Source organism: Homo sapiens, chromosome 3, assembly GCF_000001405.40.
Source record: "Homo sapiens chromosome 3, GRCh38.p14 Primary Assembly".
NCBI lineage: Eukaryota > Metazoa > Chordata > Mammalia > Primates > Hominidae > Homo > Homo sapiens.
In genome coordinates, this window is record NC_000003.12 from 132,392,705 (window position 1) to 132,416,594 (window position 23,890).

Sequence of the window (23,890 nt, forward strand, 5' to 3'; positions counted from 1 at the left end):
AGAAATATCTGAGACTGGCTAATTTATAAAGAAAAGAGGTTTAATTGACTCACAGTCCCACATGGCTGGGGAGGCCTCAGGAAACTTACAACCATGGCAGAATGCACCTCTTCATAGGGTGGTAGGAGAGAGAACGAGAGCTGAGTGAAGGGGGAAACCCCTTACAAAACCATCAGATCTTGTGAGAACTCACTCACTATCATGAGAACAGCATGAGGGGAACCTGCTGTTTGGATGGGGACACAGAGTCAAATCATATCAGGGGTTTTCTTCAATCTTCTTACACACATCTTGAAATGACAACTATTGTTAAAGTGATGGAAATTTCATTTGGTAGAACAACAGGCAGATATGTGATCTTATTAAAACTGTTACTATGATTGAGGATTTCTTTCTAAGGGAATACAACATTCTCAGCATTCTCCCCCAACAAAACAAAAGAAACAGATTTCAAAACAAGGTCAAATGTAATAGAGCGCTTAAAAAATAAAAACCATTAAAATTGTAAAGACAGATTCTACAGGAGAGCCAGATTAAGTTATTACCAATTTAATCTGAAAGTAGATATTGTAGAAAGAAAGAAACAAGGAAAGGGTTTGTTTTACAAAGATTTGTTATCTTATTAATAACAAAATAGAATAATGTCAAACAGAAAAAAATATTGAATGTAGGTGGCAGATATCTTTCCAACTCTCTTTAGTCTCTTGCTACATCTTAACTTCCTTATTATAAAAGTAAATTGCGTCTCCTCTGGGCCCAGTTTCAATGACCTCAATGAAGCTGACATGCAACATCTACAAAATTACACAGGTACATGGATGCCCTTTAGTAACTGGTTGACTTCAAGCAGGTCTGGCCATGAAGTCAGACTATGAAGCAAGTTTCCCAGGATGGAAAAACATGCATTCTCCCTCCCACAAGCCAAAAGAAAATAATGAATGGCCCCTTCTGAAAGGACACAAATCCTGGGTACAGTGGGCTAGAAATTTTTCCAAGTTACTTGAAGTCACTTAGTTTATCTCCTTTCTCCTTCCTACACAGATAATCTTCCTGGCCTCTTGAGAGCACCATTCAGTCCAGGGTATTCTTAATGCACAAAATTACCACTTTTGGTCTTCTGAAAGACTGACAGGGACAGACTGAGATGAGAAAAAAATGTATTTCCTGCTTAGGATGAAGTTCAAGACATTAAACATATATACACATAAAACAATTAGAGAAACCATACATAATGGTACAATCTAACGTTGAATGTTGTGGCACAGGCTTTAAGCATTATAGGATTTCTTCTTCCTGATGGTACAATTCAATTCAACATGCAGTTTTTTTGAATAATGTTTACCACTTGTATACATGAGTGTAACCATGACCACAAGATGAATTTTTTTTTTAAAAAAAGACCCAAACGCAGAACATTTTCAAGAAATTTCAGAACACTTTGGGCATGGAGAGCATTGTGAAAGATTCTAGAGGGGGACCACTATGTCCTACAAAGAAAAAAGAATGTAATTTCTTATTAGAATACCTAGATGCTATAACTTCAACTTTCTGAGAAAAATAATTATGGACCTAACATTCCACACTCAGTAAAAATATCAATCAAGTGAGAAAGTGAGAGGGAAAAATTGAGGTCACTTTCCAGCATGTAAAAATTCATCAAGTTGATTTATCATGCACCCTTTCAAGAAAATTACTTGAAGATGTTCTCCAGCCAGAACAAGAATTAAGTCCAAGAAACGTAAAAACTTGAGATCCCAGAACACTGACTCCAACCCAGGACTTGGGTGGAAAAAAACTCAGGATGACAGCTTGGCATCCAGCCCAGAGAGCAGCTGGTTCAGATTGTAATAAGAAGTCAGATGGTTCTGGGAAATCCGTCTTCAACAATTATATTACATCACTTATCAAAGATGGAATATGTTTAAGGCAGATACATCATCTTAGTGTTTGATGAAGGCATACAATAAAAAATAAAATAAGACACTTTGAAATCATAGGATAGTAAACAATGTTAACACAATCACAATAGAAATACTGTGCATTGATATTTTTGATTTTAGATTCAACCAATGAATAAAGCATGCAAGGATTAATTATGATTACAGAAGAGATGACCAAAGCTAACAAAAGTTGTTAGGATGGGAGAACAGTGCATACAGAAGAGTAGGGAAAGAAGTAGAGGGAAGGATAGGAGTCCTAATTTACTCATCTTACTAATAACAGCTAACATTGGGTACTTAACATTGTGCTCATTCAGAGATAAGCATGAATTAATTCAGCTAATCTCCCAAAATGAGAAAACTGAGGTGTATTAGTCAGGGTTCTCTTAGACGAACAGAACTAACAGGATATATATAAAGGGGAGTTTATTAAGTATTAGTTTACATGATTACAAGGTCCAACAATAGGCTATCTGCAATCTGAGGAGCAAGGAGAGACAGTCTCAAAAAAAAAAAAAACCACAAAAAACTCAGGTGAGCACTCACAGTACCTGGTTTTAACTTCATATCGCTGAAAGAGGCACTGAAGAGATAGAAAAATCAGGCCTGAGTCACTGAGGCCACCCCTCCCCCATCCTGGCAGTGGTAGGGAGTGGTGCAGAGAGCATCTCTGGGAATTTGGAGTGGAAGAACACAGCCACTGGGTGCTGTCCTGTTAGAGCAGAAAGGAAAACCAGACTAAACTCAGCTGACCCCTGCCTATAGAGGGAGCATTTAAACTAGCCCTAGCCAGAGAGGAATCATGGATCCCAGGGGTTTAAACTTGAGTTCCCATAAATTTTGCCACTGGGGGTTATAGTGCTGTCTGTCTCCAAGAAAACTTAAAAGGAAGTCTAGGCCATAAGGACTGCAACACTTAAGCAAGTCCTTGTGCTGAACTAGGCCCAGAGACAGTGGTCTGGGGGCATCATACCAACTGGGGCAGCCAATGGAGTGCTGGAATCACCTTTCCCCTAACCCCAAGCTGCACAGCTTGTGGCTCCCTTCCTTCCACTTGACTAGAGAAGAGGAAATAGTTGGGGAGACTTTATCTTGGGTCTTGGATACCAGCTCAACCACAGCAAGATAGGGCACTGGTTCTGGCCTTAGCTCCCAGATGACATTTCTAGATACACCTTGGGCCAAAAGGGAACCCACAATATTGAAGGAAAGGACCCAGTGCTGGCGGCATTCATCACCTGCTGACGGAAGAGCCCTTGGGCCCCAAATAACCAGCAGCAATACTCAGGTACTACATTGAGTGCCTTGGATGAACCTGTGAGAATTGCTGGCTTAAAAAAGGAAGAGGCGGACATTAAGAAAGTCAAATGAATAGTTGTGAATTTCAAGCTGGGCAAGGAGAAAAGAGGTGGAAAGGATGTGGAGCTGACACAAAGGGGAAGATGGACAGAACAGGCAGATCAGAGGTTTTTATGAGATTAAATGGAGTAAGAGCCAGAAGGACGAAAGGTTTGGTCAGTTACTGGAACTTTAGACTTCGATTTCTAAGATGGTTCAAACTCCCAATTACAAAGTGTAATGCAATGAATGGGTAACTGAATTGTGACAGGTGACAACATGCTAATAGCCCTCGCTCCCTCTCAGCGCCTCCTTGGCCTGGGCGTCTGCTCTGGCCACGCTGGAGGAGCCCTTCAGCCCACCGCTGCGCTGCAGAGGCCCCTCTATGGGGCTGGCCGAGGCCAGAGCCGGCTCCCTCTGCTTGCAGGGAGGTGTGGAGGGAGAGGCGTGGGCAGGAGCCGGGGCTGTGCGAGGCGCTCGCGGACTGGTGCAGGTTCTGGGTGGGCGCCAGCTAGGCAGGCCCCGCACTGGGCGCAGCCGGCCAGCGCCTGCTGGGCTTCATCCAGGGATGAGCTCCCTCTGGGCTGCCAGAGTGCTCCCGCTAGATGCGGCAAAGTCCCGCTGCAAGTGCCAGTGAAAGGTGAAGCCGGCTGGGCTTCTGGCACGGGTGGGTACTTGGAGAACTTTTCCATCTAGCTAAAGGATTGTAAATGCACCAATCAGCACTCTGTGTCTAGCTAAAGGTTTGTAAACGCACCAATCAGCACTCTGTGTCTAGCTAAAGGTTTGTAAATGCACCAATCAGTGCTCTGTGTCTAGCTAACCTGGTGGGGACTTGGAGAACTTTTCTGTCTAGCTAAAGGATTGTAAATGCACCAATCAGCGCTCTGTGTCTAGCTAAAGGTTTGTTAACACACCAATCAGCACTCTGTCAAAACGGACCAATCAGCACTCTGCAAAACGGACCAATCAGCTCTCTGTAAAATGGACCAATCCGTTCTCTGTAAAATGGACCAATCAGCAGGATGTGGGTGGGGCCAAATAGGGGAAGAAAAGCAGGCTACCCGGGCCAGCAGTGGAAACCGGCTTGGGTCTTCTACTATGTGGGAGGTTAGTTGTTTTGCTCTTTGCAATACGTCTTGCTGGTGCTCACTTCTTGGGTCCACACTACCGTTATGAGCTGTAACACTCACTGTGAAGGTCTGCAGCTTCACTCCTGAAGCCAGCGAGACCACAAACCCATCAGAAGGAAGAAACTCTGGACACATCTGAACATCTGAAGGAACAGACTCCGGACACCCTATCTTTAAGAACTGTAACACTCACAGGGTCCACAGCTTCATTCTTGAAGTCAGCGAGACCAAGAACCCACCAATTCTGGACACAATTGGAGTGAAAATAAAGTGATTGGAGGTGAATTCAAGCAATAATAACATCTTGGATGGAACAACTATTAGACCATTAAAAGTCTACAGGGTAATGGTAGCAACTGAGGAGCTTAAAGAACTAAGACCCAACAGCTGACATCATCAGAGAGGTCAGCAGATGACACAGTGAAGGCATTTCTAGCAAGGAAGACTTGTTTGGAGCAGAGTAGAAGTAAGGATCCTGAGCTTTGCAAGGTCATGACATCCAGGATTCAGAGCTGGAATTAAACTTCAAAATTTCAAATTTCTGGTAGTTAACAGATCTACTTACAACATCTATTTCATAAGGGTCTGTGACAATCCAGTTAGATGACATATATAAATAACCTAGTGCAGTGGTAGTTAGTATTATAATTAGTATAATTCACCTTGTTATGAACTCCTGTGAGTAGAGAGGAAACACATGTCGCTAATCACATCCCACATTTTCATTTGGGAGATAGGCTGTTGGAAAACAGACTAAGGGACCCACTGGATCACGCCACCATTCTGTGATTGGTCTGGATTCTAAAACCGGTTCCTTATTCCCAACACTGAATTTAATTCATTCTGAACAAGACAAGTTGCATTTGTTTTAAAAACTCCCTGAATGCATTTAGGTAAAGAGAAATAAATCTGCCTTGAGCTTCACATTGGCAAGAGAACATACCATTTTAAGAAATGAAACAAATAAAAGTGAATCTTTAAGTTTTAGGAAATATAGTATACTGCTATAAGATCGGAATATATAACTCAAAATTGTTTTATTGGTTAGTTTTACCACCTTAATACAAAATGTACTACTAGAAGCTTAAAAAGAGCATGTCTTTTGAATTTTAATGAATTTTAGTGAAATTTAATTACAGATTAAAGTTAGATAAATGGGTTGGTGGAATACAGGTCTAAATATTCATTATGTGTCCATTAATTAAACTGCTTATTATTAAATTAACTTGTTAATTTAATTTTTTGACGAATTACAATTAAAATTTTTTCATTTTGTGAAAGACCTAGTTCATGGTCCCAGCTGTATATGATACAAGTGAATACTAATTCATAGCTGAACAACTATCATTTACTCTTTAAAGCATAAGTGTATATTATTCAATGATGTATCTATGGAAGACTTTTATCTTAGACTCACTCAATAGCTATATTTTTGATGGAATAAGGCAGAGACCTGAGCAAAATTTGGTAACTGTGATTGAGGGAGTGGAGAATTTGGGCTCCTTTTCTTCATGAGCATTTTTTCTTCAACCTCTTGCTTTTCTTCAATGGCTTTTTGAAGGGAAAAGTCATTATTACTAGGAAAATCTCTTTTATATTACTCTTTAATTTTATTTTGAGTAAATTTGTGTGTGTGTATGAGTGTACATTCTCTAAATTTTAACACGTGTAGATTCCTGTTATCTACCACCATAATCAGGATGTAAAACAGTTCCATCACCCCCCAAAATATCCCTTGTGCTATTTCTTTTTGGTCACCACCTCCCCCTGCCCATAACTCCTGACAACCACTAATCTGTTCTCCATCTTTATAATTTTGTCTTTTCGAGGCAGTCATAAAAATAGAATCATGCAGTAGACTTTTCTAAGACCAAACCAAACAGAATCCCTAGGCTAGCAAATGGCTGATGTCACAAAATCATGCAATTTATAAAGATGCCATTTTTGGAAGTTTTACCGCCTTTTCTTACTATACTGCTTGAGTGCACCAGATACTGTTTTTCAATCTAGAAAGTACTAAGAACTCCAAAGACCCCCCACTCCACCCGCTTTCTCTCAACAGTCTTAATCACAGACAATTGTCAGTATCTGTAAGTACTACTTACATGTTAGCTTTCATCCTATAGGGCTGAGTCTGGGATGTTTTAGTCACTAAAACAGTATTTCTCAGAGCAGGGCCTCTCAAATGTCTCGTTACCATGAGGGGGTAACTTCAGTGGTATCAGTATACAGAACCTTCCCACTGTTCCAACATTTGTAAATATCCTTGTTATAGATCTTTTGCATGGTATAATCATTGTGACACAAGAAGCTGGGGCCCATAGTCTTTCCCAAATGTTTCTGAGGTTGCTCAGAGGGTTCAACCACTAGTTTGTGGGTATAGTCTGCCATCTACAGTCCACAGGTGGTCTTTGCATGCTTGCTTTCATGGCAGTTTAAAAATGTGATTTAAATGCAAATAATATGTTTTGGTGTCTTCTGTGAAAGAATGGAATAGTGCATCTGGATTTCTTATCAACAATCTGATGATCTGACTCCCTCCTTCAAAACATTATACCTAGCTAAAACTCTGTCCAAATTCCCTTAATATTGGGCCAGAATTTGGGTATCACTGATCTGAAGAAAAAAATATTGGGGAGTGAGTTATATCAGTCTAATTCTGGGGTAGCTTACATGGTTTGAGGTTCGTATGTTTAGTTTACACACTTCGAGTTTCAATTAAGGTTCCCAGCTGTTGGGGGAAAAAAACACTTTTCCTCATGCAGATTTAAATTCTGTGGTCAGAAATGCAGAAGGAAAGGTAGAACAAAAAGTAGTTCAAGTCTTTGCAATTTTATTTCTCTTTTCCTGAAACCTTCTGCCACCCATTTCTTCACCAGATTCTTTTATTATCAAGATTCAGGCCTCAACTCAAATGTCACCTTCTAGAGAGGCTTTCTCTGACCAAGTGAGTAAAGCGGCTACTCTGTCCTTCTCATCCCCATTACTTTCTAGCCCATTACCCTGATTTTATTTCTTCATATCACTTAGCACTAACTTAAACTGTCTGATTCAGTCATATTTCTATATATTTATTGTCTTTATCTCTTCCCCCTCACCCACTAGAGCAAGGGCCTTTTCTTGTTCACTACTACATCCCCAATACTTAGAACAGAGCCTGACCCATAATAAATGCTTTAAAAACATTGGTTGAAAAAAAATAAATAGATACAATAATTTGGTGACACTAGCCATCTAGTGATTTGGTTTGGTCTGGTTAGAAAAGTCTACAACATCATGAATGCTCACCTCAAGCAACTCCGAACTATGGGGAACTCCTGAAACCATAGCAGTGTACTGGGAAGAGTTTTCTGAGCAGCCCATCCTGGGAGTTTTGGAGAGCACTGTTTTAATTGCTGGAGGAAAATAGCTTTTAAAAGCAAATTTGAGATTGTGATTTGATAAAAAAAAATGTTCATGTAAGATTAAAAAACTTGGACTCTGATCCCTAGATTTAAGGGGAGCTCTAACAATAATTATCCCCAGAGTTCCAGTTTCACGTAAGAAGGAGTAAGCATGCTTCACACCTTTTCTCACACTGAATATAATTACAAACCCTGGACAGAAGGCAAGAACAAGTATTTGAAGACTCTGAAAAGTAAATAACAGCAGCCAAATTTTGTAGTACCATTAATCTAAATCCATACATATCAATCATAACATGAATGTAAATGATCCAAACATACTAATTTAAAAATAGGAATTTTCCCTAAGCTCATCAAGCAGTATACATTTTATATATACAAGTTATATGTAAAAACTTCTTTTATATGTCGGACCTCAAAAAAGTGAGATTTTTTTTTAAAAAAGAAATTGTCAAAATGGATTTTTAAAAACCGTGACTCAACTCTATGCTATTTACAAGAAACACAATTCAAATATAATACACATTGATTAAAAGTATGGGTGTGTGCCTGTAGTCCCAGCTACTCGAGAGCCTGAGGCAGGAGGATCACTTGAGTCCAGGAGTTCGAGGGTGCAGTAGGCTATGATCACACTACTATACTCCAGCTTGGACAACAGGGAGAAATTCCATCTCTTAAAAATAAATAAATAAGACTGAGACACGAGGATCTGGTGTTCCAACCCAGCAGGAAAATGCGGCCTTTGACTGAAGAGGAGACCCATGTCATGTTTGAGAAGATTGTGAAGTACATCAGGGAGAATCTTCAGCTGCTGCTGGACCGGCCTGACCGCACCTACTGTTTCTGGCTGCACAACGACCGGGTGGACTATGTGAGTGAGAAGATTGTGAAGCTGGATGCCAATATCTCCGGGGACAAGCTGGTGTCACTGGGGACCTGCTTCGGAAAAGTCACTAAGACCCACAAGTTTCGGTTCACGTCACAGCCCTGAATTACCTTGCACCTTATGCCGAGTATAAAGTGTGGATAAAGCGTGGTGCAGAGCAGTCCTTCCTCTATGGAAACCATGTGTTGAAATATAGTCTGGGTCGAATCACCGAAAATAGTTCTCAGTACCAGGGGAGTGGTGGTGTACTCCATGGCAGACATCCCTTTGGGTTTTGGGGTGGCAGCAAAATCTACACAAGACTGCAGAAAAGTAGACCCCATGGCGATTGTGGTACTTCATCAAGCAGACATTGGGGAATATGCACAGCATGAAGAGACGTTGACTTAAAACGAAGTCATTGCAAGGACAGCTGTGTGGAAGGGCCGAGTTTTGTTTCCTGTGTTTGTGTAGACTCCACCATCATGTTGAATTTTGTCAACACTATGGCCTCTTCAGGGACATCTTAGTTTACTGTACTCTCTATCACTGACAGATGCAGGCTGGATTCTTATTATATACAGAGATGGCTCAAAAATGGGGTTTCAGATCTTTGTGTTTGTGATGAAACAGAATACTCCGTTTCAAAAAAATTTAAATAAATAAATAAAGGATGGGAAAATACACATATTCTCAGTAGGAAAGCAAACATGTCTTCCATATGAAACAAGTATTACACCATTCATTTGTGTATTCATTCATCAAATATTTATTGAAAATATACTAGGTTCAAGACATGATGCTGAACATTTTTATCTAACTCATAATCTTAAAAGCCATATTTAAGAGTGAATTATGTCAGTCAGGGACCAGATGATAGTACCTGAATCACAGTAGATAGGTAGAAATTGTAAAAATAAATAAAGTAAACAAAAAAACCTATAGTCCAATACTTGAGATAGCTTTTGATCTATAAAGGCAAAATTTCCACATGTGCATCAAGATTGTCAGGCAAATTCATTAAGTGGAAATAAAATGGAGAGAGCAAAATCAGTTGAATAAAAGAAATAATTATATTCTTTATTGAGTTATACATCTTTCTTTTAAATAAGCATGTTTAACAAAATTGAGGTAGCAAATACAGTAATCAGTCCACCACTGTCACATGGAAAATAGTATTACAATTAGAAGAGAAGTTAAGATGAGGTTAGGAATCCTCATTGATAGGGAGTATTATGTGGATCTTCTATTCTGTTTTTGGTTAAATAGATATACTTTTCTTTAAAGTAGGGGTTTTGTTTGTTTGTTTGTTTGTTTTTTCCATTTCTACCCCTCCCAGTCTGATCCAGTTACCATCATCTGGGCTTCTGACTAATGCACTCTTAAATATGTCTTTTAAGATTATGAGTTACTATCTAAAAATGTGAAGAACTTATCATTATACCTTAAACTTAGTAGATTTTCAATAAATATTTGATGAACGAATGCATAAATGACATGATACTTGTTTGATATGAGATACATGTTTGCTTTCCTATTGGGACTTAGAGATTCCAGAAACATTAAGTTGGATATTCCTACAGTCCTAGGAGAATAATGGGAAACTTTCAAAGCACTTAGCATGTGTCAGAGACTATTCTAAGTGCTTCATAAATATTTACTGCTCTAGTCTTAACAAACATTTAAAAGCTATTATTCCTAGCCCTATTTTTAGATGAGGAAACTGAGGCACAAAGGGTTTTAATAACTTGCTTAAATTCTGCTTTCTTAAAGAACTACTAGTAAATGATAGACATGGGATTCAATGTCATGTAGTCTGGTTCCAAAGTTCCCACTCTAAACTGCTACTGAATTTGTATTCCAGTAGGTCTGCAAGTTGAATGTGCATCAGAATCACAATCAATCACATTCAACTTGTTAAAACAGATTTCTGGGCCCTATCCACAGAGACTCTGATTCAGTTGGTCCAGGGTAAATTCTGAGAATTTGCTGATCTAACAAGTTCCCAGGTGATGCTGATTCTTTTGGTCCAAGGTGCAGAAGTATACTTGAGAAGAAATCAAATTGCTACTGTGGACATTTCTTCTGTCTAATCCACTCTGGCTGAAAATAGAGGTTTCTGATCCTGACTGGACAGTACTCAAACTTCATATGCACACTGAGATGTGAGAGCCTAGTACATCTGGCTCTCAAACTAAAGTATGATTCCATATTCTTTCTCCCTACTGTTTGATCTTACAAGGTATTTTCTTTTTTGTGATAACAAAGTCATGCCTAGATTCTGATCGTTACCCCCAAATAAAATGATACTATTGATATGGTTTGGCTGTGTCCCCACCCAAACTCTCATGTTGAATTGTAATACCCATAATCTCCATAATCCCCACATGTCAAGGGAGTGACCAGGTAGAGGTAATTGAATTATGGGGACGGTTTCCTCCATGCTGTTCTCATGATAGTGAGTGAGCTGTCATGAGATCTGATGGTTTTATAAGTGTTTGGTAGCTCCTTCTGTGTTTATTCTCCTTCCTGCTGCCTTGTGAAGAAGGTGCCTTGCTTCCCCTTCACCTTCTGCCATGATTGTAAGTTTCCTGAGGCCAGCCATGCTAAACTGTGAATCAATTAAACCACTTTCCTTTTTAAATTACCCAGTTTTGGGCAGTTCTTTATAGCAGTGTGAAAATGGACTAATACAACTATGAAATGACCACTGAGACTTTCTGTTGATTTATTACTCACCCATTCAATTTTACCTAAGCTATGCAGCAACTAGAAAATGGTAAGATTCTGAAAAATATTTCTTACTGTTTTATTTTGTTCGAGATCAAAAATTTGGGTACTATAGAAAAGCACAGTGAAATTAAGAAACATTTTTTTGTAATGCCACCACAAAATGTTAATTGTGGTAGATTCCAATATAGTGCTTCTCATCAGTTTTTGATTCATGCTTTTTTGTAAAAAAAAAAAAATTAGACAAGTTATATTAAAGGACCTCAGCAAATAGTGTTTGAAAAGACTCACTGGAGATAAGGGTGAGCTTGCCTGAAGCCTCCCTGTGTTAGACTAAGACCCCTTTACAAATTGCGTCATTCAGGATATGACTGCGCCAAGAGGCCTGTTTCCAGAAGACACTGATCAACAAAAGCCCAAGCCTCCTTAATGTGACATTATTAATTTGCTGCTTGTTAGGGAGATAAGAATTATGCTGATCGTAATGAGTTATGCTTTCAGCCATGAAAAACTTCTCCTCTTCTCAGTGCTCAGATTATCTATCATTAGTCTGATCAAAAATTTTGGAGATATGCAGGTTCATACTAAGATGTGTCTAATGCCTGGATTGTTTTATTAATATAGGCACCCGAAGTGGGCTCTTGCTTTGCCTAATTTAGGATCTATAGTGATTAACTTTATCATCAAAATTCCATTTTGTGCAGTGACAAGTAGAAAGTACTGTACAAATTCTTCTGACATGCTGGTCAATATCAGCTTTGAACTATAAACCAGGACACTGCTCATGGCAGCATGAAGGTTACAAAGCAGTGAATCTTTTCCTTTCTAAATAGCCTGCTTTATAAAGAGAATAATTGTACTGAGCAGATAGCAATGTAGAACAGAGTAGGAAGAGAAGAGGGTCATCAGTGTAGGAAGTGAAGGGCTGGGAGGAAGACAATTATCTACTTTACTTTTTTATGTATTTTTATGAATTTTGGTTTTAAACCTTTACTATCAGAGAATTAACCAGTTCTCATTCTGGCTACTTAAGACTTTCTCATGCCAGAAAAGTGTGGAATAGGGAGAAACCCCCTCCTTCTTTTGTTTAGAAATATAAATGTCATATTGGTTTGTTTTCTTTATTCTTTTTATCAGCAGAGCCAGTGTGCTGCTATTGTTTGCTGGCCTAACAAAAATGAAATCAAGGCTTTCACTGAACAGTCTGCCAAATGTTGAATCAACAGCCCAGCTTCTGCAACAGCTTGCTTTAATGACCCTAGACAGCTTCTATTTGAATCATATACTGGGTCACAAGGAGGAAATAGGTATAACAGAAAGCAGGATGGGACAGAAACTAAATTAGAGCTTTAAAGGCTATTTGGGCTGCTGTCAAATCAGTTCCTCAGGGAAGCAGAATTATTTATTAGCTTCCTACTACATGCGTTTTGTAGTTATTTCATGTGCTATGGTAAAAATGGATGTTTTGTAAAAACTCCATCCTTCTAATAAAACAGTATATTCAACTAGTCTAAACAAATCCTTTTATGATCTTCAAAATTTATCTGGGAATTTTGATTTATTGATTCTTAAAACTGTGATGACCCTAACTGACTAGTGCAGTCAGAGTTTTTATGCAAATCAGATAAGCAGCTTCTCTTCAGAGGTTTGTTTGAGTCTCGGGAATTACATGGTTCACTCTGGCCCCTCAACAGGCAGAACTGAAATTTACCACTCACAGTCTGAGTTGCTAGAGACCTGAGTAAGATCTCAGGACTATGAGTTAATGGGAATGATCTGTAATAATGATTGTGGTATTCCTAGCTGGCCACTGGTGAACCAAGCAGAGGCAGTCAGACTTTCTTTTGGACAGCCAACTCACTACCCCATTCCACCTGCTTTGCCGCACTGGATTCACCATTTCCAGGAAACCTTCAGTGGAAGAAATATTCAAGAGCATATCCTGAAGGGAGGGCAACAAGGAATGTTTGGTTCCCCTTCTCAATGAGAACCACTCTAATAACCTAAAATTGTGTAATCGAAATGCCACTGAAGTTAGCAGACTCTTAAGAATGACATTAATTGGGTTGTTGTTGTAATAAATGTTGGCTGAGAGATGGCCTGACTACGTAGAAGGCCTCTTTAACTGTTGATGGCTGAATGCCTTTGGTTATTTTCTATACAAAAGTCTGCTTGAGTAAAGTTGGGTAGGGTGATAAAAGTGAAGCAAAATGAAAAAAAAATTAAAGCTGAAGAGGAAAATAAAGACAAGTATATTAAACATTTTTGGAGATAAAACTAGAAATCCCTTCCCATATTTTGTATAGGTCATCACCACTGCTAACTGCCCAGGTAGTAATAAATCCACCTGTTCCCTTCTTAAAATATTGAGAGAGTGTTCCCATTGTTGAGCTAGGTTTTTCCTTTTCTTAAGACATCTTTTACCAAATGGAAGAGGAAGTATGTGAGTTAAGGGGTAAAGCTAAGGGAAACAAAGGAAAGAGCCAATGGCTTCCAGGACCTGATTTCTTAATCTACCTGCTGTCATGTAGACTTGGACCTTGTGTTCATGTCAACTGGTTATGTAATAAGTTAACTCAAACACTAAGATACAGCCATTTTACTTAAAAAAAAAAACTATGAAAATCCCCTCTTTAATCCACCAACTTCAATGCTACACAGTTTAATTTTAGTTCATTTTAGATTATTTTGCAGTTTTACTTCCCCTTTGTCATTTATTTGCTTTCACTAGAAATAGACTATTTTATTTCCATTTCTTTTACTCCTAATTTAGCCTACAGATGAGCTAGAACTGAGGAAGGCTACAGATGTGGGCAAGTCATATTTTCTGTTATTTAAAATTTTGTACTCCTAGACGCGATGTTTTTGAGGAGATAGTTTATCTGTAGGACAGATTTTAATAAAAAGATAATATAGTATTATAAAAGTATATTTATAAGAATAAAACACAAGTTGTAAGCCATGTTATTCTGAGAAAATGCTCTATGAACCAAGTGTGAAAGAGTTGCACTGTCTTTCCTTCATTTGAAAATCTCTAATATAAGTTTTTAGTAGAATGATAACCAGAAGTGACTCCTGAATGACTAAGGAAAGAGGAAGTCATGGCTACTAGAGCGTACGTACTAAATGAAATGTAGTGATTTGCAGCATGGACTTTGAAATCCAACAGACCTGGTTTGAAAAGCACTACTGCTTTCTAGTGATATGACATGGGGAAAACTCAACAACCTCTCTAAAGTATTGGGTTTGTCATCTGTAAAATGGGGATAATAACAGTGTTTTCCTGTCTGTTATGAAAATAAAATGAGTTGATGCATTAAAGTCCTTAGTAGAGGGCCCAGCACAAAGTAGCTGTTCAATAAATGATATATATGAGATAGGATGATATATGACATATGACATTTCTTTAAAAATTTGCCCCAAATTAACCAGAACTTTGGATTAACTAGGATATCTTTTCCTTGGTTATATGAGATAGTATAGAAAACCTTAATAAGAAATAGTGTATTTTCTTGGAAAGTGTTCAATAAAAAGAATTTTCCACTTTCACTTGTTTCAGAGCTAAGGCACCGTGAAACCATTGTCTATTTGAATTTCTCACTGTGTGTCAAGGACATTTTTGCTAAACCTGGGTTTATGTTTTAGAATCAATTTGGTTGCTGACAGAGATTTAAATTCAAAAATAAATGCTATTTCATTTTCATATTTGGAAACAATCTTAAATTATATGTTTAACATATATAAATACAGAAATATCTTATGGCAAACATAGTTTTCTAATAGTTACATATTGCTATAGTCTGAGTGTTTGCAACCCCCCAAAATTTGTATGTTGAAATACTACCCTGCAAGGTGATAGTATTAGGAGGTTGGGCCTTTGGGAAGATTAATGCCTTTGTAAAAGAGGCCTGAGAGAAATCCCTTACCCCTTCCATGATATGAGGACACTGCTATACACCATCTACCAACCAGAAAGAGAGTTCACACCAAACACCAAATCTGCTAGCACCTTGGACTTCCCAGGCTCCAGAACTGGGAGAAATACATTCTGGGCTTTATTATTATTGTTGTTATTATTATTGAGACAGGGTCTCACTCTGTCACTCAGACTGGAGTGCAGTGGCACAGTCACAGCCCACTGCAGTGTCAATATCCCGGGCTCAAGTGATCCTCCTATCTCAGCTTCCTGAGTAGCTGGAACCACAGGGTTTTGTTTTGTTTTTTTTCCATGCCCAGCTTTTTTTTTTTTTTTTTTTTTGGTAGAGACAGGGTCTCACTATGTTGCCCAGGCTGGTCTCAAATTCCTTGACTCAAGTGATCTACTTGCCTCAGCCTCCCAAAGTGTTGGGATAACAGACATGAGCCACCGCACCCAATCGCCCGCAAATTCTGTTGTTTATAAGTTGTAAGTTTATGGTATTTTGTTATAGCAGCCCAAGTGAACTAACACATGGTTTTCCAGTAATCAATATTTACACACTGACATATAGGTTAAAGAAATACATATTAAAGAAAGTATATGTCTTCTCCGATTATACAGAAAAAAAAGGATAAGAAGGCAATTACATTTAATGATCTGGTATATTTTTAAAGAGTTCCTTAATCCAATCTATTCATATAATTTTTGAAAGACTCTGCTTTCAGATCATAAAGGGGAAGCTGATATAACTAAGCCTATAAATAAGACTACATGTTGGAAAATCCTTAGAGTGGAAATGATAATGAATCTCAGGAAAAATATAACTACAACATTTCTAAATAACTATTAACATATACATTTTTTCTCCAGTGGAAATTCTATTTATCACCTTTGTAATCCCCCTAAGACTATCTGTGACCTCCATATGTACGTATCTTTTCCCCCACCTACTGACAGTAATATAATAACCACTACACAGTTTATGTTCTAGTCATGACATAAAATCTTAAAATTCCCAGAGGAAGGACCAAAAGAAGATTTCAGTCAGTTTATTCCATTTACTCACAGCGTACCATTTGACTTAGAAATAAAAACAGCAGTCAGTGATTGCTCTTAGAGAATGCTGGGCCATGGAACCAACTGGATTTGGGTTCAAATTCTAACTCTGGCACTTACTTGACTTTGAGGCTTTGGACAAATCCCATTAGCTCTCTGAACGTTGGGGAGCATCTTCAACTGTACAGATGGGGTTAGCAACAGGTAGCAACAGGCTGTTCTAACAGAGCAGGGTGCGTGGTAAACTTTCAATGTCCAGCAAAGCCTTCTCTTATAACTCTCCTTTGATCTCTCAGGCCTATCTTCATTTCCTGTTATCATCATAGTTATATAAAGCCTCTTGTTCCATATTTTCACAGATTTTTTTTTAAATCTCTCCAATTCAGAGCTGGTTTTATATCGCTAGAGGTTCTCAATTCTATACTCATGAAATTAGTGAAGGAAACATAACAAAGTTCTAATTTCTCCACTGTGATTATTATTTTGATGCCTTTTATAAAACATTAGTTAGCAAATCCTTTTCAAGTTTATTTCATCTTGATGGTCCTTGCTTTCCTGGTGCCCTAAACGCTTACTTAATACAGTACTACTCCAAATATTGCATTATCTGCTTCTAGAATTACGGAGGAAGAAAACAAAGGGTATATAAGGAAGGGAGAAAGTTAACACTTACGGAGAATGAGTGGTGCTTACTAAATGATCCATAAACGTTATTTTCCTTCTGCCCTTCATTCTTGGTTTTTAAAATCTGGGAAAGTATTAATTCACTCCCTATTATTAAATAAAGAATTGGCACATTTAGACTATCTCCCTCTCCCTTATCCCATTTTTTAGAGTTTATGACTTTTATTTTTCTATTATATACATTTATAATATTAAATAATATTGGTTCATCAATATTAGATAGCATAGCATATCTTGATTCTTATATAATATCAAAACAACTGTTGTTGACATGAATTATTACCTTCATCTCATTGATAAAGAAATTGAGGCTCAAAAGTTAAGTGGCTAATAATGTAGAACTGGGATTTGAACATTTGTAAGGTAGAGAAAAAAATATATCCCCTAGTAAGTAAATACATTGTCAGAAGACAGTTATAAACCAGAAAAAAAATAATACCTTACTTGCTGTAACTAAACCTCTGTTTCTTTCTAGTATAGTATACTATTTTCTTTTTGCTCTACTTTACTTATTATTTAGGTAGTATTTAGAGATTCCAGTTGTGCTGTACTCTGGTGAAGAGATTCAAAGGAATACCAAACAAAATTGCACTTTGTTCTGTGAAGCTCATTAATGTGGCTATTTTTATTGGTAGCCTCTTACTATATTGTGCTGAAATAGTAATACTCTATTAATTTCTTTTTATTTGCATGAATAACACAGTGACACTCAATAGCCCAGCCCTTAAAAAATGTAACATCATTGAGTAATGAATTCAGAAATGAAGCAGATGCCCACAGACAAGCAGCTCTAGCCATCACAACTATGCTCTGGGCACAAAAAAAACGTAAAGGGTGGGGGAAAAAGGACACCTACTAGCTGAATCTGATAGCCCACACCAACAATATCTGCTTATGTTTCATCGGCCAGACTTATGTCATCTCTGATATGGTCAGCCGATCTGAGAGGAGGTTGACGATGTAGTACTTGTAGGTGGCACATTGCCACCTTCAACTTGTAGGGAAGAAGAGGAAAATGATATTGGGTAGGCAATAGTATTTACTCTGGAAATATACAGGGTTTCTAAAACTTAACATGTTCAAACCATACTTTTTTTAAAATTTTACTTTAAGTTCTGGGATACATGCGCTGATGGTTATAGACTTTTTTTAAAAAAACCTTTTTTAAACAAAATTTTAGTTTAAGTTCTGGGATACATGTGCTGAACGTGCAGGTTTGTTGCATAGGTATACATGTGCCATGGTGATTTGCTGCACCTATCAACCTGTCATCTAAGTTTTAAGCTCCGCATGTATTAGGTATTTGTCCTAATGCTCTCTCTCTCCTTTCCCCCGACCCCACAACAGGCCCCAGTGGGTGATGTTCCCCTCCGTGTCTATGTGTTCTCATTTTTCAACTCACACTTATGAGTGTGAACATGCGGTGTTTGGTTTTCTGTTCCTGTGTTAGTTTTCTGAGGATGATGGTTTCCAGCTTCATCCATGTCCCTGCAAAGGACATGAACTCATTCTTTGTTGTGGCTGCATAGTATTCCATGGTATATATGTGCCACATTTTCTTTATCCAGTCTATCATTGATGGGCATTTGGGTTGGTTCCAGGTCTTTCCTATTGTAAATAGTGCTGCAATAAACATATGTGAGCATGTGTCTCTATAGTAGTATGATGTATAATCCTTCAACTCTCAAAGTTTGTCTGACAGGCAGATTAGGAATAGACCCAAAGTAACTTTAACATTTGCAGTGACTAGTATATGTGAGTTTCTTCTATATTAGTAAGATTTTTTTCAAATTGGCTTTGTTAGTATGTGCTTTTTATTTTGGTTTACATTGATTTACTTTTTTTTTTCTCAGACTTCACTGTATAGATTTGAGAACCAATAACTTTACAAGCTAATTAGTTGAGCTTGAAATACTACTTCTTTTATGTTTTATTTTCCTTTACGCTAAGTAGGTGGCTGCCACCTCATTTACTGTTGCTCACAAAAAGAAAAAAAAATCATCTTTTCATTGACAAAATTAAGTTTTACATGGAAATAACAGTCATATCATCTTTATATGCTCAAAGCCAGCAATAATTTGGGTAATGAAGTTTTATGTTCTCAGATAGGCATAATATGAATAAGTTATTATCCAAGATTAATGAATAGATATCCTTTCCTTCTATGTGGTTGCAATGATCTTTAACAAAATTAGTGGGAAAAAAAAGCTTTTGTTGCACCTGATTAACTCACCTTGATTTAGGCGTGAATGAGTCATTGTCATTCTAAGAACTTCCTCATGGTCAAGTTTTGGATCACCATTTTTAAAATATATTGTGACTGTCGAAATTCCATGCATGTAAGACTTTTTTGCATTGTTAACATTCACAGATGAATTGAACAAGTCAACTCTGTGTTCTCCATAATAAATAAAATGAACTATTTAATGATGTCTCATGATAGGAGTATTCAAATATGGTTGTCAAGAATGAACACTTGAACTTTCCCCATTCTGCTAATAATACAGAATATCTGCTTATCTGACATTCTGTATTATTAGCATCTGGTTAGTCCTCTGATGATAACTACAGCAAACCTGTTTCATTTAAAAACGCAAGGACAAGGATTACATAAAGAAGCTGGAGACCCTGATATTAACTATAGTGTGTGCTCAGTAATGAACTGCTCTATATAAGTTATTATCTGTATTATCTTCATCTGGTTAGTCCTCTGATGATAAGAACTACAGCAAACCTGTTTCATTTAAAAACTCAAAGACAAGGATTACATAAACAAGCTGGAGACCCTGATATTAACTATAGTGTGTGCTCAGTAATGAAGTGCTCTACATAAGTTATGTAACTCCTGCAAATGTCTCTCAAGGTAGGTATCAATATCTGAAGTTTACAGAAGAGGGAACTAAGACTCAAAGAGGATAACGAACTTGCCTGTGAGTTTTTTAAACTACATTATATTTCCTTCAAGTGCTGATGACTAAAAATGTCTGAATATAATAATTTCATAGCAGATTGGAAATCTTGTTCACTTCAAAACCCTTTATGGAAAAAACCACATAAGGTTCTTGAGTTTTCTCAAATCTGATAATACAAGAAGTATTTGAATTAATTAGTAAGAACACCTGAATTAGAAAACCCTCAGCAGTGTATATATTGTAAAAGAGCAGTTGTGGTAAAATTTAATAAGGAAAAAGAACACAGGCCTTTTTCTTAACCAGTTAAAATTTCAATAATAGTTTAAAATTGTTAGACCACAGAATAAGTTATTTTCTTTTCCCTCCTCATCCATCTTTGAAAATATAATCAAATCTAGATAATTTCCTGTAATTAAATGAAAGCATGTTTTTGTTAATAAAATATTATAAATTCAAAATCCTTTATATATGAACATCATTATACTATTTAAAAAGATATTTTAATTCACATTAATAATAAAACTAGACTTCCTGGGGTAGGATTAAGTGAGCTGGGGAAGCCAGGCTATCAGTTACAAAAAAAAAAAATTGTGGATCCTATATATATATACAGATACATATGTATATATGTCAAGAAATTCTCATGTCATAATTTGTCATATGTTGTAAATAATTTCAATTATTTGAATTACAGTATAGAGAAACACAGAAAACTAAATACGTGTGGCCAGATAAATCTTGAGAAAAACCACTAAAGACAAACAACCAACCAATCACATAACAAATTAAAATGAAGTCCAGTAGAAGATTCTGTGGAAGCTTCAAGCTCACCAACTCGACGTAGTTGTTTTCTGACACTTACTGTTTGCTTGCACAAGATTTTCTAATAGCAGTATTGTCCAAGAGAAATACAATGGGAGCCATATATTTAATTTTACATTTACTAGTAGCTACATTCCTTAAAAGAAACAAGTGAAATTAATTTTAATAACATTTTATTTAACCAAATATACAGCCATAATATTATCATTTCCACATGTGACAAAGAGTCTTTGCTCAGCCAAATTTTAATCAGGCTTCTGAACCTTTCCTTAGGCCCCTCTGTGTGCTTCCTTGAAAAGTCTAGTCTGCAAAAGAACCTGGCTAAGTCAGTTTAGCCAAAATTCCCTCGATATGTGATCAGATTCCTCATCTTTCACCTTCCCCCAGAAGATGTCTAATCACTCTGGCCTGTCTTTAGCAAGAATCCTGTTACGTAGGTTTAGCCAGGATCCCCGCTCACCCCTGATGTTTTCTCTTAGTAATTTTCCATCCACTGACCCCCACACACTGTTCCTTGGAGATAAATGCATACTTGCCCGTGTCGTTTTCCGACCTGAGCCCCGTCTCTCTCCCTTACTGCAAGCCCCTGTTGCAGTGGCTCCTGTACCTATTGTAATGATCGTAAATAAACTGAATAAAATCTTTTTTGTGGGGAGCAGGGGGTACAGGGTCTTTCTCTGCTGCCCAGGCAGGAGTGCAGTGGCACAATTATAGCTCACTGTAACCTCGAACTCCTGGGCTCAAGAGATCCTCTCACCTCAGCCTCCTGAGTAACTAGCACTACAGGGGCATGCCCCCATGCCCAGATAATGCTTTTATTTTTATTATTTTGTAGCAATGGGGTCCCACTACATTGCATAGGCTGGTCTCAAACTCCTGGCCTCAAGTGATCCTCCTGACTTGGCCTCCCAAAGCCTTGGGATTACAGGTGTCAGCCATCATGCTCAGCCTATTACCAAGCTTTAACAAGTATCATTAAATAATACTTTTTTTTTTTTTGAGAGTTTCACTCTTGTTGCCCAGGCTGGAGTGCAGTGGCACCATCTCGGCTCACTGCAACCTCCCCCTCCCAGGTTCAAGTGATTCTCCTGCCTCAGCATCCCGAATAGCTGGGATTACAGGTATGCACCACCAGGCCCGCCTAATTTTTTTATATTTAGTAGAGACGGGGTTTCATCATGTTGGCCAAGCTGGTCTCAAACTCCTGACCTCAGGTGATCCACCCGCCTCAGCCTCCCAAAGTGCTGGGACTACAGGCGTGAGCCACCGTGCCCGGCCTAAATATTTTTTTCTTTTAACACGTGTAATCAATATAAAAATTGCTAATGCAACATTTTACATTTTTTTGTAACAATTTTAATTTTTATTCTGTGTTCAGTAGCCACATAGGGCTAGTGGCTACTGTACTGAAAACATAGTTCAAGCATTGTTGAGTGGTATGAGTTCTTAAGGATTTACTTTGGATCTGGGCATTGATATAATTAGGAAGGTCAATTTAGCAGCAATGGGAATTAGATAAGCAAGTGTTTGACATTCTTGTGGGCTCTCTAAAGTCTTAGATCACTCCAGCCTTGTATGCTAACTTTGGAGACTGATAAAGGCTATTGGTGCCTAAAAGGCTGTGAAATGTATTTTTTAAAAAGCTGTGAAATATTTTAAGTGTACATCACATAATTTAGATTGTAAATTTGATACATCTGCACTATGAAAGTGTCAGAAACGCTAGTGCAAACTTTAATTATGAATAAAAAGACAAATCCAGAAAAAGAAGTGTGCATTTGTCACTCTTAAAAAAGAGTTGGGTGGGGAAAGGATCCAACTGATTTAACCTAATAGGGAAAGAAGAGACAAGTCCTACTCTCCCTGACTCTTGTATTTTGTTGTGGCATTTTAAGAAGGATCCAATTGTATGGATCCAATTAAAAGCAACCAGTGGTTGTGAAAAGGCTTGAAACTACATCTTGTGAACAATGGTTGAAAGTACTTTGAATATGGTTTCTTAAAATGAGTATCTGTAGCAGGGGTAGTTAGAAGGATATGCACGGGAGAGGGAGTGGGAAAGGGTGATAAGCTGTACTGATAAGTGCTTAAATGAATGTCACATACAAGAAGAAAAGAGCAAGAAACAAAGACAAAATAACTACTCATAGAAGAGAGTGCAAGTTGGCTGAATACAAGGAAAATGGCTTATAAAAATGCAATGGAAAAAGATGTCTTGTGAGGCAATTTTGCACTACAGAGGATGGGGACAATTCATGATGCCTAAGGCTCCTCTCAACACGAGAATTGATTTTATTGGTCTCAAATATTGAACAGAGAGGCAGTGTGGAGGTTGAACAGTTCACTGGCCTTGATGTTACAGGCAGGCCCTGTGTCTTAATCTTGGCTCAACCTTTAGGAGTTAGGTCACCTTTAGCAAGTCTCCTGGACTCTCTGGGTCTGCTGCTTCTCTAAAATCGAAATAATATACCCCACATTTACTTTTGGGATTACTGGAAGGCTTTGTAACCACATAAACACGTTTCTGTTTCCATGGGATAAGCCAATAAGGCCCCTTAACACAGCCCTCCTGTTTCTTTTTCCTCCTCCTCCCTTCCTACTCTATTTCGGGTTCTGTCTTCCCACACCCAGCTATTCCTAGTACCTTCCCTTACATGCACCTTATCTTACTGCTGCATTACAGAAAAGTCTAAGGATAAACACAAATAGTCTTTTTCCGCCCTAAGGTAGGGCAAAGGGTTAATAGAATCAAGAGGTAAAGTCTGTAAAAACCATTTTTCCACATTTTTTCATCCTGCAATCGCTGTCTATAAAATGAGCCAACTTGCTGAAGGGGACGCCAAGAAATCACAATTTCAGGACTGCCATGAAGAATGAGTATTCAACTCCTTATCAGAGACCTTTAACCCTTATACAATAATGTATCCATGCAGGTCACCCTACACTGCCTCTACTCTGAAGTCTGCAGCAGAATCACTATTTTTTTTTTAATCACTAATTTTTAAACTGTGGTCTTTACGGCTCAGATCTGGGAGTGGACATTGACCTTTCTTATTTAAACCATTGCCCACAGATAACACATAATTT

The 23,890-nt window shown here is 37.9% G+C and overlaps 1 pseudogene; it reads left to right on the top strand.

The window, feature by feature from the left end:
- Nucleotides 8,513-9,286, top strand: NIP7P2 (NIP7 pseudogene 2; annotated as a pseudogene).